The 17,102-nt window shown below is 38.9% G+C and overlaps 2 long non-coding RNA genes across 5 annotated transcripts in view; one reads left to right on the top strand and one right to left on the bottom strand.

The window, feature by feature from the left end:
- Positions 1-17,102, top strand: part of LINC02254 (long intergenic non-protein coding RNA 2254) — a 151,441-nt gene that overhangs the window by 75,169 nt on the left and 59,170 nt on the right. The gene's annotated exons all lie outside the window — the stretch shown is intronic.
- The window catches only part of LINC02253 (long intergenic non-protein coding RNA 2253), a 197,799-nt gene continuing 195,249 nt past the window's right edge, over positions 14,553-17,102 (bottom strand). For all 4 annotated transcript variants that reach the window (NR_183855.1, NR_183853.1, NR_183854.1 and 1 more), the window contains 2 exons: positions 16,754-16,873; positions 14,553-14,852 (listed from right to left, as the gene is read on the bottom strand). This is a non-coding gene — a long non-coding RNA (long intergenic non-protein coding RNA 2253). The remainder of the gene's footprint in view (positions 14,853-16,753; positions 16,874-17,102) is intronic.

Here is a 17,102-nt window from a genome sequence, read left to right as displayed (position 1 = left end):
TGATTTCCATTACCAAAATATATATTCTATCTTTCCATTTTTCTCCTTCTCTGTTGCTACTGCTTTAATTCAAATTATTATTTTCTATGAGCTACTAAAATATTTTTCTAACAGAAGAAGAAGGTATTATATCCAGGATGCTAATTTAAAGTCATGTGGCAAAAGGAGGTCTAAATTTGGCTTAGTGTTAGAGTTGAAAGTGCTATAATATCTTTCCAATGAGCAAAAATAAGGTCACGTTTTTCTGTGAGCATGGCTCCTTAGCCTGCTGCTTTCCTTATCTGAAGGATCCCAAGGGGGCGTGGCCTATGAGGCCACTGGGGATGATGAGAAAAGCTGGTGATGAGAGAACTCACAGGCCTGTGGAGAAGGAAGATTTCTGAAAGCTCTGTTTTCTAGCTCATATAGTCAACTCTTCAAAAGAGCATATTTGACAGTCAAACAATTAATACACATTTATCTAGCAAGGCACCGCAGTCTAATAGGATTGGGCATTTTTCAACACAAGAGTATTTTGAAAACATATATTTAACCCAAAACACCTTGTTTTATCTTGAAACAGCTTTTAACTTCAGGCTATTTTCAGTAAGGCTGCAGTATTTCTCAAATACTCCTTGTCAAACTCGAAAAAAAAAAACATGAAATAAATCAGAAAATTTGTGATTTAATTATTTGTAATTTTCTGTCTATTTATTGGGAAAAATACCCTAATTTAATAGCACTTTTAAAGCTTATTTTGTATTTAAGATTTTTTTGGACAGATATTGGATCAAATCAAATCAATTTATGTCTCTACAAGTTGCCCTTCAAAGATATTATTGGCTGCAACAGAAGATAAGGATTAAGTATCATACATACAAAAATGGTTTTCAATCAAGAACTTCTTTAAAAATGATGTATGTAATTATTTGAAAGTATATTATACTTTATGAATTTTGTGTAGGACCAGGTTCAATATAGTAATGGTTGTCTCCACAGGGGCGTGTGGTAATTGTTGACTGCATATTTGCTTTTATTTATTCAATACTTACCTTTTTGTTTTCTTGTTTTCTGGGGGATTTGGGGCATTAAACTGACTTATTTCTAGAGTAATCTACCAAGTGACATTTGGGGTGGCAAAATGATTTTAGGAAAAAGTAGAGCACACATAACTAACACTGTTAGACTTCAGAGATTAAAGATTTCACAAACTCTGGTATTACTGTATTAATCTCCTAGTACAAAAACTGTAATTGTTTAGATTATTTGACACCAAGCTTATCTTCAGCTACTTTTGAACTTTGTTTCTTTAAATTTGGAATGTAATCTCCCATAAGTACCTGGTCCATTTTCCTTTGGGAAGAGCATACACTTGGTCCATGTCAGCCTCCAAGTTCGGTCAATTACCCCCAGGAATCATCTCTGATGAACCTTTCCAGCATCAGTGATTACAATGATATTCTTACTGTTTGGGGATTTTAAATAACAGCACAATCAGGACATGTTCCTTTTCATCTTTGCCTCCCATAATTTTCTTTGGTAGAGGTCTTATCAAACATGCTTGATTTTTTCCCCTAATTATAACTCTTCAAAGGAGAGAAAATGAGACTTGGAGCCCGGGTTTTCTAGCAAATGCTTCTAGGCCCACAGCTGCTCCAGCTTTTGAAGTTCCCTCTGCTCACCTCTTGATGCTGCAACCCTCTTAATAGCAGCATTAGCTATTTCAGCTCCATTTTTCTGACAGTCTTGGTGGAGAGAGTGAGGGAAAGCCTTTCATGTAGGACTTTGTTGCCCTGATATGACGCTTGAAAAATAAAAATAATTCTGATTTATCTAGTCCTGGCACATACATGTAGCTGTAGTCTCCTTGCTTAGTAAGCAGGAATGGCTTTCACTAAGTCTTTATTTGCCATTAATAATGGAGATTAGAACCCTATACAATCAATTTAAAAGACAATGACTCAAGGATACACCTATTCAATACAATGGAGACATAAGATCCAAATTAAACTACCAACACTCCAAATAACAAACTCTGTTTCCAGTCAGAAATGGCTAGTGAATAAGAAAAAATGTTACTAAAATCCTTTCTTCTCGTAGCTAGAGAGGAAAAAGTAAAACATATATTGATGTTACAAATTAAAAGAAGAAGAACAATGTGCAATACAATCAATCCTGTCCTTTAGTGGAAGGCGATTGTAACATTTGTAAGTTTAGTTGCATAATGCAGTCAAACCATACATGAAGTCATTTTGCTCCAACACCTGACAATGCCACAGCTCTGGATACCTATTTTGCTTTCCAGATACGGCAGAATACAGTCATAGGGAGGTTCTGCCCCTTGTTGAAAAAATTGTTGAAGTTGTTGATAGCATTTGCATTCATCAATTTCAACGTGGATGTTGAGAAAGAACCACATGTAAGCACGTGCCTTGGCATATACTGAACACTAACTTATTCCATGGAACTATTAAACCCTTTTAACTCTTCACAAGCTTTTTTTTTTTTTTTTTTTTTAACTTTTTTGGATCTTATATGAAAGTATATTTGAATATACTTTGATTCTTGGGGGAGAGGGGACAGAAAAAACTGTGTAAATTTGAGGCTGGATTAAAACGGTTGTGCTTGTCCTTTTTGTTATGTATGAGAAAAACAAGTATAGCCCAAAGAATATCTGAAGTCAGAGTAAATTGGAATACTTGTGCTTTGAAGGAAAGTGAAGTTTTTTGTACAGTCAAGTTAATTGGGCACATCTTTTAACAGACCTAGGTTTCTGCAAATCATTTCTGTTGCAAGTACAGTTTCAAAGTATGCTTTTCAATCATATTTCGTACTTGTTCTTTGAGAGTTAATTAATATGTATATTTCCGGAGTTGCACGATTGTTGGAATCGTGTAGCTGGAGCTTCAGAGCAAGGTGCTATAGGAATATAGACAGAAAACAAAATGGGTTGGTAACTGGTACATGGTGATCTGCTCTTCTTATTGGAGTTCTGTTGGTGTTATTTGACAGTGTATATCCTAGAAACCTTACTATGGGGCTACCATGGGCAAGATTCCATTTTTCGGTAGATAGATTTATTCCTGAAGGTTGTGAGAAAACTCAGTGTTTATCTATTGGGACTTGATGCATGAATAGTTAGGTTTAAGGAAAATATTTACTCCTGTTTCTGCGAATTGGGAATTCAGGGCTGTTTTCTGAGGCACTGAGATTCTTGAAGCTCTCCTGCTGGTGGTGAATGACTACCTTTGCCTCATATGACAGCTGGAATTGCTCTGGCATTTCCTGTAGAATAGTTTTAGTTTATCTTCCATCTTTTGATGGCCTTGTTCTACCCTAGAAAGAAGTTTAGAGAACAGAGTTCTCTTACAGCATCATAACTGCATACCTCTACCTTCATACCACATTAGTGACCACAGCAGAAAAGTGTAGAGAGCTCTGGCCAGTGGAGCAACATCTTGGGAATCTCACTAGCTGCTACAGCTTAGCATGGTAAGAGTCCAGGCAGAGGGGCTCTGGGGAGCTTGTACCTGACAGTCCTCTAGGGGACTCAGAAACAGATGGGAGACATTTGAAGAGAAGGAGAGTTGCCAAATAAACATGGAAAGTCCTGAGTAAACATTGCAGAGCAAAATCAATTCCCTAAATCTCTGTCTGAATACCACAAAATAATAAAACAAATAAGCAAAAAGTTGGCCAGCAAAAACTAAGTAAAAAACAAGATTTATCCCTCCTGTCATATGCTTCTAAAAGATACAACCAAGAGAAATTTAAAAAAAAAATTAGTGAAGTTCTTAATTGCATCTCCCTTCCTAAGATGTGGCACCAGACATTAATGAGTCACCAAACTTCTGAGAGCTCTTATTCATATCCCACAATCTTGGGACCATCAAATTAAGGATGTTCAATTGAATCTAGAGAAAAGCAAGGAATGATTCCAGCTATGGTGGAAGAAATGTTGATGGAAGCTGAAGGAATTCACTGTGTTCCTAGAATCTGTGGTGAATTAGGGCATTGAACTGAATTCTTCAGGCATTCCTTCCATTAAATATGTAACAGGCGCAACAGGTTGGAGAGTACCCTGATAGAAAGACATTAAACCATCTCTTGGATACCAGGGGCTGCCAAACTTTGGGCTGTGGGCTGACTACTGATCTTGTGAATAAAGTTTTGTTGGAACACAGCTATGCCCACTTGTTTATGTATCGTCTATGGTTACTTTTATGCTAAAACAGCAGAGTTGAGTAGTTGCAATAGAGACCACAGTGGCACAAAGTTCACATATTACTGTGTATCTTTTTATGGAAAAAGTTTGCCCATTCTTGTCATAGAAGAAAGTGGGGAGTTTAGGTTTGCCAAAACACAATATCACAATCAGATAAGATCAATAGTGAAAAAGACATTTTACTAATTGCATTACAGAATATACAGAAAGGCTAAATAGAGCTATCTACATTAAATATATTAAGTTACAAATAAGAAAGAGAAAAATGGCATGGTGTTTGTGTCAGCAAGCCACACACACACACACACACACACACACACACACACACAACATGCATGCACAGAAAAGAAACAACCATAAAATCTACTTTGAGATAATACGTAACTTAAGGAAAAATGGAAATAGTGCTTTCTACCATGAAAATTACTAGAGTATAACTTAAGGAAACATTTCAAAGACAAGTTGATAAACCAACATAAATTGATGAACATAAATATAGAGCTCAGTAAATAATTGGATATTTACAAAGCAATATACAACAAAGCAACCCTCATCTTCATGTGACTACTAAATAAATTAGAAAGAACTGGAAACAAAAGAGATAGGGCTAAAAAGTCAAATCATGGAAATGGACAAAAGCCTTGAACATAAATATAAATTCAGAAAAAAGGGAAATGATTTAAAAACTAATGAAAAGCTGGAAATAGGCAAATATGTCCTGACAATGATATCTGCTGTTCCTATAGTAGATAACATGAAGCAGGGTAGATACATTTTCGTGAATTAAAGGAAGAAATAATGTTCGAATGGAATGAATCCACCATATTCCAGGAAAATCTGACACAGAGCAAAAGGGCTCTTTTTAAAGTTGTCTTTTAAAGTGTCTGGGTATTCATCAAGAAAAGCAAGTCATTTATAATGGGGAAAACAAAATCGGGCTGGTCTTCGCCATGACAACTTTCAATGGCAGAAGGTAACGAGATAATAACCAATAGTTGCTGAGGGAGATGAAATGTAACTCAAGAATATAATAGTTGTTCTTCACATATGAAGGCAACAGATAAATAGGCTAATTCAGAGAAGAATTTATAGACTAAAAGACCTACAAAATCTTCTGAGAACTTACTGCCCCAATGCAAACTCAAACAAAACTTCATGGAGCTTAATCATTCAAAAGAGGAATGAAGGAACCCTACTAAAAAGATGAGTGCAGCATTAAATGTCAGAAGAGAGCATGGTGGTGTTTGCAGTGCACTGAGGAACAAGCTAACACAGGCATATTTTATACACAGGTTATCTTGCTAGCTGAAAGGCACCACACATTCTCACACATGCCAGAATGTATGAATGAAGGAACCTTCCGTCCAGAAAACTGATACAAGTAGATAAGTACTTAGATCATTAAAGAAAGAAAAAGTAATGATACCAACAGAGGCATTTAGTCAGTCAAGATCCAACAGAGATGTAAATAAATACCACAAACTCAGAAGTAGCCTCGCCATAATAATAACTAGTGATATCATTCATGGCAATTATTGAAACAAACAGAATAGAGTTGTAGGACATAATTTAAAAAATCATCAACCTTGAAACAGAAAAAGAGATGCTGAGTCAAGGGAACTAGATGTGGAAGAAAATATGTTAATTTTATAAATTTTTATGGTTTGGGGTCACTACAATTGAGAACCATTTTTTCAGAAAAACAGAATTATTCCTATGCATTCAATTTTTATGGTTATCTGTTTCTATAATCTTTAATATCTCTTAGGAACAAATAGTTCACATGGGGATAAAATAGTTCCCTAAAATTGAGTGATTCTATTAGTTTTATCACAATTTTAATTTATCCTATAAAATACAAATAATATTAAATGCTCTCAAACTTAAAATTGCACAGATGCATTTTATCTTATTTATATGTATCCATTCATCCACACACATTTATCCATTGTTCCATCCATTAGTCTCCTTGTTTCTCTCTTTATCTGTTGTTTTATAATCACATTTATCTTTGTCGTTATATTTATATGTATATGTATATACATGGATTAAAATGTGTAAAGTAACATTTCCCTAATGTTGGCAGTGGCTATTTCTGTGCAGTCATGTTTTTCAAAATTATTTTTCTTTCTTTGTTATGTTTATTGCTTGTGTTAAAATAATAGACATGTAAATTCATTATTTAAACAAAAAATGATTTAGCTCATTATTCATAAGCCCTAAGAACATTTGGATTATATACGTGAAATAAAAAACTCCTGAAAGATTTAATGTATCATTTACAAACAGCATTGTGAACTTCAGAAAGCAAAATAATTTTTTTTCAATGCAGTGGACCTATCTGGCTTATGAAAAATCATAAAGTGGACAAAGCCCACTTGTCCTGGATGCGTTCTTTCTCCTATGTGATGACTCTCAACCTGTGAATGGTATCGATTTTTTGAAAATCTATTAGCATAGGAATCCCATTGAGGGCACTATGCAGAGTATGCTTAACTTTGTGGTTTCCCACACTTTCTCTAAGATAACTTTTTTTTTTTTTTTTGAGAGGGCGTCTCGCTCTGTCGCCCAGGCTGGAGTGCAGTGACACCATCTCGGCTCACTGCAAGCTCCACCTCCCGGGTTCACGCCATTCTCCTGCCTCAGCCTCCCAAGTAGCTGGGACTACAGGCGCCCGCCACCACGCCCAGCTCATTTTTTGTACTTTTAGTAGAGGCGGGGTTTCACCGTGTTAGCCAGGATGGTTTCAATCTCCTGACCTCGTGATCCACCCACCTTGGCCTCCCAAAGTGCTGGCATTACAGGCGTGAGCCACCACGCCCAGCCGATAACATTTTTTTTTTTTTTTTTGCTGTTTCCTGTAGCCGTTTAGTAAGATATGGTTGCCAAGACATTGCTATCTGACCTGTTATCCTATTATGTAATACTTTCTACACCACACTTGTGAACAACTCCATCCAAAGAAGTGAATAAGGCCACACAGCAAATGAGAAAGGCGTTTATGAATACAGATACATCGGGATGCTCCTCAAATCCCATATCCCTTTTGCTGACAAAAAGGAAAGGGATTGAACCACTAGTTAAATATCCAGCATTACAATCTTCCCATTTTTTTCCCATAAGATTAAAGAAAGCTTGACTCATATGTTATTTAGAAAGTCAAATGAGTAAAAGTGAGACTGCAAGGAGCTTAGAAAGTATCCAATGAATTAGTATGCCTAAAGAAACTGAAGATCAGAAATAAAATCCATTGTTTTGGTCTTTGAAAAATATGATTGATTTTAATGATTAGCCACATCCCTAGAAATTGGATTCACATCTATTCCCTTTGGAATATTGCCACATTTCCTAAGGATAATCCAAGCAGATAATCATAAACAGCAACAATGATAATGCAAGAGCCTGAAGGTACCTGGAGGTGGGACGGTGAGTGGAACACGGTTTGGGTCCCAGCTTGTTTAACTTTTTTTTTTTCCCATAGTATTTACATTGTATTATGTATTATGAGTAAACTGTTTAATAGAGGTGATTTGAAGTAGACAAGGGCATGTGTGTAGGTTATATGCAAATACTGTGCCATTTTTTAAAATTATTATATTATTATTTAAGTTTTAGGGTACATGTGCACAATGTGCAGGTTAGTTACATATGTATACATGTGCCATGCTAGTGTGCTGCACCCATTAACTCATCATTTACCATTAGGTATATCTCCTAATGCTATCTCTTCCCCCTACCCCCACCCCACAACAGGCCCCAGAGTGTGATGTTCCCCTTCCTGTGTCCATGTGTTCTCATTGTTCAATTGCCACCTATGAGTGAGAACATGCGGTGTTTGGTTTTTTGTCCTTGCGATAGTTTACTGAGAATGATGATTTCCAATTTCATCCATGTCCCTACAAAGGACATGAACTCATCATTTTTTATGGCTGCATAGTATTCCATGGTGTATATGTGCCACATTTTCTTAATCCAGTCTATCATTGGACATTTGCATTGGTTCCAAGTCTTTGCTATTGTGAATAGTGCTGCAATAAACATACGTGTGCATGTGTATTTATAGCAGCATGATTTATAGTCCTTTGGGTATATACCCAGTAATGGGATGGCTGGGTCAAATGGTATTTCTAGTTCTAGATCCCTGAGGAATCGCCACACTGACTTCCACAATGGTTGAACTAGTTTACAGTCCCACCAACAGTGTAAAAGTGTTCCTATTTCTCCACATCCTCTCCAGCACCTGTTGTTTCCTCACTTTTTAATGATTGCCATTCTAACTGGTGTGAGATGGTATCTCATTGTGGTTTTGATTTGCATTTCTCTGATGGCCAGTGATGGTGAGCATTTTTTCATGTGTTTTTTGGCTGCATAAATGTCTTCTTTTGAGAAGTGTCTGTTCATGTCCTTCGCCCACTTTTTGATGGGGTTGTTTGCTTTTTTCTTGTAAATTTGTTTGAGTTCATTGTAGATTCTGGATATTAGCCCTCTGTCAGATGAGTAGGTTGTGAAAATTTTCTCCCATGTTGTAGGTTGCCTGTTCACTCTGATGGTAGTTTCTTTTGCTGTGCAGAAGCTCTTTAGTTTAATTAGATCCCATTGGTCAATTTTGGCTTTTGTTGCCATTGCTTTTTGTGTTTTAGACATGAAGTCCTTGCCCATGTCTATGTCCTGAATGGTAATGCCTAGGTTTTCTTCTAGGATTTTTATGGTTTTAGGTCTAACGTTTAAGTCTTTAATCCATCTTGAATTAATTTTTGTATAAGGTGTAAGGAAGGGATCCAGTTTCAGCTTTCTACATATGGCTAGCCAGTTTTCCCAGCACCATTTATTAAATAGGGAATCCTTTCCCCATTGCTTGTTTTTGTCAGGTTTGTCAAAGATCAGATAGTTGTAGATATGCGGCGTTATTTCTGAGGCCTCTGTTCTGTTCCATTGATCTATATCTCTGTTTTGGTACCAGTACCATGCTGTTTTGGTTACTGTAGCCTTGTAGTATAGTTTGAAGCCAGGTAGCGTGATGCCTCCAGCTTTGTTCTTTTGGCTTAGGATTTACTTGGTGATGCGGGCTCTTTTTTGGTTCCATATGAACTTTACAGTAGTTTTTTCCAATTCTGTGAAGAAAGTCATTGGTAGCTTGATGGGGATGGCATTGAATCTATAAATTACCTTGGGCAGTATGGCCATTTTCACGATATTGATTCTTCCTACCCATGAGCATGGAATGTTCTTCCATTTGTTTGTATCCTCTTTTATTTCATTGAGCAGTGGTTTGTAGTTCTCCTTGAAGAGGTCCTTCACATCCCTTGTAAGTTGGATTCCTAGGTATTTTATTCTCTTTGAAGCAATTGTGAATGGGAGTTCACTCATGATTTGGCTCTCTGTTTGTCTGTTATTGGTGTATAAGAATGCTTGTGATTTTTGTACATTGATTTTGTATCCTGAGACTTTGCTGAAGTTGCTTATCAGCTTAAGGAGATTTTGGGCGGAGACAATAGGGTTTTCTAGATATAGAAGCATGTCATCTGCAACCAGGGACAATTTGACTTCCTCTTTTCCTAATTGAATACCCTTTATTTCCTTCTCCTGCCTAATTGCCCTGGCCAGAACTTCCAACACTACGTTGAATAAGAGTGGTGAGAGAGGGCATCCCTGTCTTGTGCCAGTTTTCAAAGGGAATGCTTCCAGTTTTTGCCTGTTCAGTATGATATTGGCGGTGGGTTTGTCATAGATAGCTCTTATTATTTTGAGATATGCCCCATCAATACCTAATTTATTGAGAGTTTTTAGCATGAAGGGTTGTTGAATTTTGTCAAAGGCCTTTTCTGCATCTATTGAGATAATCATGTGGTTTTTGTCTTTGGTTCTGTTTATGTGATGGATTATATTTATTGATTTGCGTATATTGAATCCACCTTGCATCCCAGGAATGAAGCCCACTTGACCATGGTGGATAAGCTTTTTGATGTGCTGCTGGATTCGGTTTGCCAGTATTTTATTGAGGATTTTTGCATCAATGTTCATCAAGGATATTGGACTACATTTCTCTTTTTTGGCTGTCTCTCTGCCAGGCTTTGGTATCAGGATGAGGCTGGCCTCATAAAATGAGTTAGGGAGGATTCCCTCTTTTTCTGTGGATTGGAATAGTTTCAGAAGGAATGGTACCAGTTCCTCCTTGTACCTCTGGTAGAATTCGACTGTGAATCCAACTGGTCCTGGACTCTTTTTGGTTGGTAAGCTATTGATTATTGCCTCAATTTCAGAGCCTGTTATTGGTCTATTCAGAGATTCAACTTCTTCCTGGTTTAGTCTTGGGAGAGTGTATGTGTCGAGGAATTTATCCATTTCTTCTAGATTTTCTAGTTTATTTGCGTAGAGGTGTTTGTAGTATTCTCTGATGGTAGTTTGTATTTCTGTGGGATCAGTGGTGATGTCCCCTTTACCATTTTTTATTGCGTCTACTTGATTCTTCTCTCTTTTATTCTGTATTAGTCTTGCTAGTGGTCTATCAATTTTGTTGATCCTTTCAAAAAACCAGCTCCTGGATTCATTAATTTTTTGAAGGGTTTTTTGTGTCTCTATTTCCTTCAGTTCTGCTCTGATTTTAGTTATTTCTTGCCTTCTGCTAGCTTTTGAATGTGTTTGCTCTTGCTTTTCTAGTTCTTTTAATTGTGATGTTAGGGTGTCCATTTTGGATCTTTCCTGCTTTCTCTTGTGGGCATTTAGTGCTATAAATTTCCCTCTACACACTGCTTTGAATGTGTCCCAGAGATTCTGGTATGTTGTGTCTTTGTTCTCGTTGGTTTCAAAGAACATCTTTATTTCTGCCTTCATTTCGTTATGTACCCAGTAGTCATTCAGAAGTAGGTTGTTCAGTTTCCATGTAGTTGAGCAGTTTTGAGTGAGTTTCTTAATCCTGAGTTCTAGTTTGATTGCACTGTGGTCTGAGAGACAGTTTGTTATAATGTCTGATGTTTTACATTTGCTGAGGAGAGCTTTAGTTCCAACTATGTGGTCAGTTTTGGAATAGGTGTGGTGTGGTGCTGAAGAAAATGTATATTCTGTTGATGTGGGGTGGAGAGTTCTGTAGATGTCTGTTAGGTCCGCTTGGTGCAGAGCTGAGTTCAAGTCCTGGGTATCTTGTTAACTTTCTGTCTTGTTGATCTGTCTAATGTTGACAGTGGGGTGTTAATGCCTCCCATTATTATTGTGTGGGAGTCTAAGTCTCTTTGTAGGTCACTCAGGACTTGCTTTATGAATCTGGGTGCTCCTGTATTGGGTGCATATATATTTAGGATAGTTAGCTCTTCTTGTTGAATTGATCCTTTTACCATTATGTAATGGCCTTCTTTGTCTCTTTTGATCTTTCTGGTTTAAAGTCTGTTTCATCAGAGACAAGGATTGCAACCCCTGCCTTTTTTTTGTTTTCCATTTGCTTGGTAGATCTTCCTCCATCCTTATTTTGAGCCAATGTGTGTCTCTGCATGTGAGATGGGTTTCCTGAATACAGCACACTGATGGGTCTTGACTCTTTTTATCCAATTTGCCAGTCTGTGTCTTTTAATTGGAGCATTTAGTCCATTTATATTTAAAGTTAATATTGTTATGTGTGAATTTGATCCTGTCATTATGATGTTAGCTGGTTATTTTCCTCGTTAGTTGATGCAGTTTCTTCCTAGTCTCGATGGTCTTTACATGTTGGCATGATTTTTCAGTGGCTGGTACCGGTTGTTCCTTTCCATGTTTAGTGCTTCCTTCAGGAGCTCTTTTATGGCAAGCCTGGTGGTGACAGAATCTCTCAGCATTTGCTTGTCTGTAAAGTATTTTATTTCTCCTTCACTTATGAAGCTTAGTTTGGCTGGATATGAAATTCTGGGTTGAAAATTCGTTTCTTTAAGAATGTTGAATATCGGCCCCCACTCTCTTCTGACTTGTAGAATTTCTGCCGAGAGATCTGCTGTTAGTCTGACCGGCTTTCCTTTGTGGGTAACCCGACCTTTCTCTCTGGCTGCCCTTAACATTTTTTCCTTCATTTCAACTTTGGTGAATCTGACAATTATGTTTCTTGGAGTTGCTCTTCTCAAGGAGTATCTTTGTGGCATTCTCTGTATTTCCTGAATCTGAATGTTGGCCTGCCTTGCTAGATTGGGGAAGTTCTCCTGCATAATATCCTGCAGAGTGTTTTCCAACTTGGTTCCATTCTCCCCGTCACTTTCTGGTACACCAATCAGATGTAGATTTGGTCTTTTCACATAGTCCCACATTTCTTGGAGGCTTTGTTCGTTTCCTTTTATTCTTTTTTCTCTAAACTTCCCTTCTGACTTCATTTCATTCATTTCATCTTCCATCACTGATAGCCTTTCTTCCAGTTGATGGCATCAGCTCCTGAGGCTTCTGCATTCTTCACATAGTTCTTCGAACCTTGGCTTTCAGCTCCATCAGCTCCTTTAAGCACTTCTCTGTATTGGTTATTCTAGTTATACATTCGTCTAAATTTTTTTCAAAAAGTTTTTAACTTCTTTGCCTTTGGTTTGAATTTCCTCCTGTAGCTCAGAGTAGTTTGATCGTCTGAAGCCTTCTTCTCTCAACTCGTCAAAGTCATTCTCCATCCAGCTTTGTTCCTTTGCTGGTGAGGAACTGCGTTCCTTTGGAGGAGGAGAGGCACTCTGCTTCTTAGGGGAGTTTCCAGTTTTTCTGCTCTGTTTTTTCCCCATCTTTGTGGTTTTATCTACTTTTTGTCTTTGATGATGGTGATGTACAGATGGGCTTTTGGTGTGGATGTCCTTTCTGTTTGTTAGTTTTCCTTCTAACCAACAGGACCCTCAGCTGCAGGTCTGTTGGCGTTTGCTAGAGGTCCACTCCAGACCCTGTTTGCCTGGGCATCAGCGGCAGTGGCTGCAGAACAGCGGATTTTCATGAATCGCGAATGCTGCTGTCTGATCGTTCCTCTGGAAGTTTTGTCTCAGAGGAGTACCTGGCCGTGTGAGGTGTCAGTCTGCCCCTACTGGGGGGTGCCTCCCAGTTAGGCTGCTCGGGGGTCAGGGGTCAGGGACCCACCTGAGGAGGCAGTCTGCCCATTCTCAGATCTCCAGCTGCGTGCTGGGAGAACCACTGCTCTGTTCAAAGCTGTCAGACAGGGACATTTAAGTCCGCAGAGGTTACTGCTGTCTTTTTGTTTGTCTGTGCCCTGCCCCCAGAGGTGGAGCCCACAGAGGCAGGCAGGCCTCCTTGAGCTGTGGTGGGCTCCAACCAGTTGGAGCTTCCCTGCTGCTCTGTTTACCTAAGCAAGCCTGGGCAATGGCAGGCACCCCTCCCCGAGCCTCGCTGCCACCTTGCAGTTTGATCTCAGACTGCCGTGCTAGCAATCAGTGTGACTCTGTGAGTGTAGGACCCTCTGAGCCAGGTGCAGGATACAACCTCCTGGTGCACCTTTTTTTAAGCCCATCGGAAAAGTGCAGTATTAGGGTGGGAGTGACCCGAATTTCCAGGTGCCGTCTGTCACCCCTTTCTTTGACTAGGAAAGGGAACTCCCTGACCCCTTGCACTTCCCGAGTGAGGCAATGCCTCGCCCTGCTTCGGCTTGTGCATGGTGTGCTGCACCCACTGTCCTGCGCCCACTGTCTGGCACTCCCTAGTGAGATGAACCTGGTACCTCAGATGGAAATGCAGAAATCACCCGTCTTCTGCGTCGCTCACGCTGGGAGCTGTAGACCAGAGCTGTTCCTATTCGGCCATCTTGGCTGCCCTCAAAAAATGCTGTGTTTCACTTTTAAAAGACCATGTATTTCTTGCTAGACCATCTTCTCTGTCCTGTGCTTTTGTCCCAACTCTTCACAGTTCAACATAGGAGCCAATTACAGAGGCTAGAATGGATTCTTTGGCTCCCTTTGTCTTTACCCTGGTGTTTCTTGCATGCTATCTGGACGAAAAGCTCAAGGCCTTTTTTTTTTTTTTGTCTTTAATTGATTCATAGGAGAGGCTTAACCCCTCCCACCTCAGAGCAGTTATATTTATATGGGGGTAAACATTTAAAATATAATCAAGGGAAAGTGGTTCAAATCTATTTCATTAGAGGATAAAAGTAATTGCCAAGTAGGCTTTAAACCCATTCAAAATATGAATTGCAGGTCTGGGGGGACCACCAGAGGCAGCACTGGCCTCCCAACCCGTATACGCCAGGGCTGTATCTTGAGTTTCATGTCTGCCATGTGGACCAAACCTACCCCTGTGACCACAGAGAGAGAGAGGCAGTCCTGAGATGCTGAAGAGACCTCTAATCCTTGACTTCTCCTCCTCCATTCCCCTTCCCCTCATCACTACCCCATCCCTCCAAAAGCACAAGTGTGTAAAATGTATTCATTTGCCAGAGGCTGTTTATTCTGTGTAATAGACACTTGTTGTCCCCCCATCCTTTCTTTTTAGATTGTCTGAACGGGCACAAAGCAAATTAGTGCAAAATGCTTTCAGCCAAGTGTCAGGTGGAATCATGGTGAAGAATGCTCCACTCTTGGGCTTTCTAACTCTCTTGGTGTCGTCCTGACAGCTTTGTCTTCCTCAATTATAGCTTCCGTGATGTGTTCTCTGTGTGGAGCCCCAAAACCAATACTGTAACTTCGGGAGGTTCTGTTTCAACAAAGACATCTTGAGCTCACTGTGAAAGAAGAAATCATAAGGATTAGAGAAAGGAGCTTTGCAAAGTCTCAAACATATTTTTCTGAATGGGGCATTTCCAGGCTTCTTTGGTTCTTGTAAAGATTAGGAAGTTCTACAACCATGCCACATATGAATGATATGTGGCATGAGCAGGAGACTCATTAATGACCTTTGTTTAAAACAAGCCTTTGGAGCCAGGAACTACTGGGAGCCCTTAATGTCCTTACACAAAATGTGTCTGTTCAAGTACTTCCGATATTACGGGGGAGCCTTAGCATGCAACGAAAAGGCAACTACTATTATGTATTGATAATGTTTGTAGTTCTCAGCTCAGCTTATATAGAAATAAGTTTAATTGGAACTTACATGATAATCTTCCAAGTCTAATTATTTTTAAACCATTAACAAATTTTATTTTTTCGAGATGGAGTGTTGCTTTGTCACTCAGGCTGGAGTGCAGTGGTGTGATCTTGGCTTACTGCAACTTCCACCTCCCAGGTTCAAGCGATTCTCCTGCCTCAGCCTCCCGAGTACCTGGGATTACAGGTGCCCACCACCACATCTGGCTAATTTTTGTATTTTTAGTAGAGACAGGGTTTCAGCACATTGGCCAGGCTGGTCTCGAACTCCTGACCTCAGGTGATCCACCTGCCTCAATCTCCCAAAGTGCTGGGATTACACGCATGAGCCACTGCACCCGGCCCCATTCACAAATTTTAGAAAAATTATCTCCTTCTAGCTCTCTATCTCCATTGCTTCAGCTCTCTCCCTTTCTCTCCTTCTCTCATCTGCTCTGTTTCTTTCTATTTTTTTCTATGTCTGATGACAGCATACTATATTTACTCTAATATCATCTGGAACCTAAAGCAATTATCAATTATCACTAAAGTTATCATCATCATCCATCCACCTATTTATTAAAGCCTGTGGAATATAATCCTTTTAGTAACTCAAAATGTGGAAAATACAGTAATAGATTCATGTCTACAATAATAATTTAAAATATATGCAAACCGTCTAATTGCCTCTAGTCCAAATGGTACCAATTAGATGACATCTACTGGGATTGCTTTCCAACATAATTGCTCTGATAATCCAAGCTCCACCAACAAAGTGGGCTTTAGAAGCCAATTGCTGTTGCAAGACTCCTGGAAAATTTGGGTAGACACCTAGACACCTAACTTAAATCTGAGCCAATCAGATCCCAGAAGTATTAGGGATCTGAGTATCAGGCAGCCATCTCTGGGAGGCAGAAGGAACATCCATGTATAACTGTTGCTGAGATTCCTAGGTTGGATTTGGCTTTCCAATTTATTAAATTGTTCAACCTTTTCTCTGATTCTATGCAATGCTTTTCTTACAGATCTTTTGAGGATAGCCACCATAGTTACTTGCGACAAAAATAGTCTTATGGAATCAGATTTGGATAGCTAAACATGAGCAAACTTTAAATGAGATATTGAGTGTAAATCTATAATCATCTTTTACTCTCAGTGTAATCTCTAAGGCATGGTATTCTGCCTGGCAACCTAGGTTTTAATAATGGATGATGATATTAAGTGTGTAATTTTTCTTTTCTTGGCCTTGATTTCTGTTTTTCTTCTTTTGACAAAATTTAAAAACAGATGAAATTAAATGGAATTTATTGGGAATATAGATAATTTATTCCAAATTAGATGCATTTAGATTCATTAGATGAAGAAAAATATTCATTCAGACAAGTCAAAATGAAAAAGTGGAAAAGTGGAAATGTATTTATAGGTGTTACTTTTCATCTCTTCAGTTTTAACCGATCGTTTTATTTTATGACATACCTGCATTTCCATGTTTAGGATAGAACATGGAACATGTATGTTCCTGCCTATATTAGGCAATTCTTGCATTGCTGTAAAGACTTACCTGAGGTTTAATTGGCTCAAGGTTTTTCAGGCTGTACCAGAAGCATAGCGCCAGCATCTGCTTCTGGGGAGGACTTGGGAAGCTTTTACTCATGGTGGAAGGCAAAGCTGGGGCAGGCATCTTCACATGGAAAAAACAGGAGCAAGAAGGGGAGGGAGGTGCTACAGATTTTAAATGACCAGATCTCATGAAAACGCACTATAGTGACCCAAACACCTCCCACCAGTCCCCACCTCCAACACTGGGGATTACAATTCAGCATGAGATTTTGAGGGGACATCCAAACTATTTCACTGCCGTGGCTTTTTCAAAAAATTTCAAATCACCAATTATAGAACTAGTTTAATTT

The sequence above is a fragment of the Homo sapiens genome, chromosome 15 (assembly GCF_000001405.40).
Source record: "Homo sapiens chromosome 15, GRCh38.p14 Primary Assembly".
Lineage (NCBI taxonomy): Eukaryota > Metazoa > Chordata > Mammalia > Primates > Hominidae > Homo > Homo sapiens.
The sequence above is the reverse complement of the archived record's forward strand: the minus strand, read 5'-3'. Positions and strand labels throughout refer to the sequence as shown.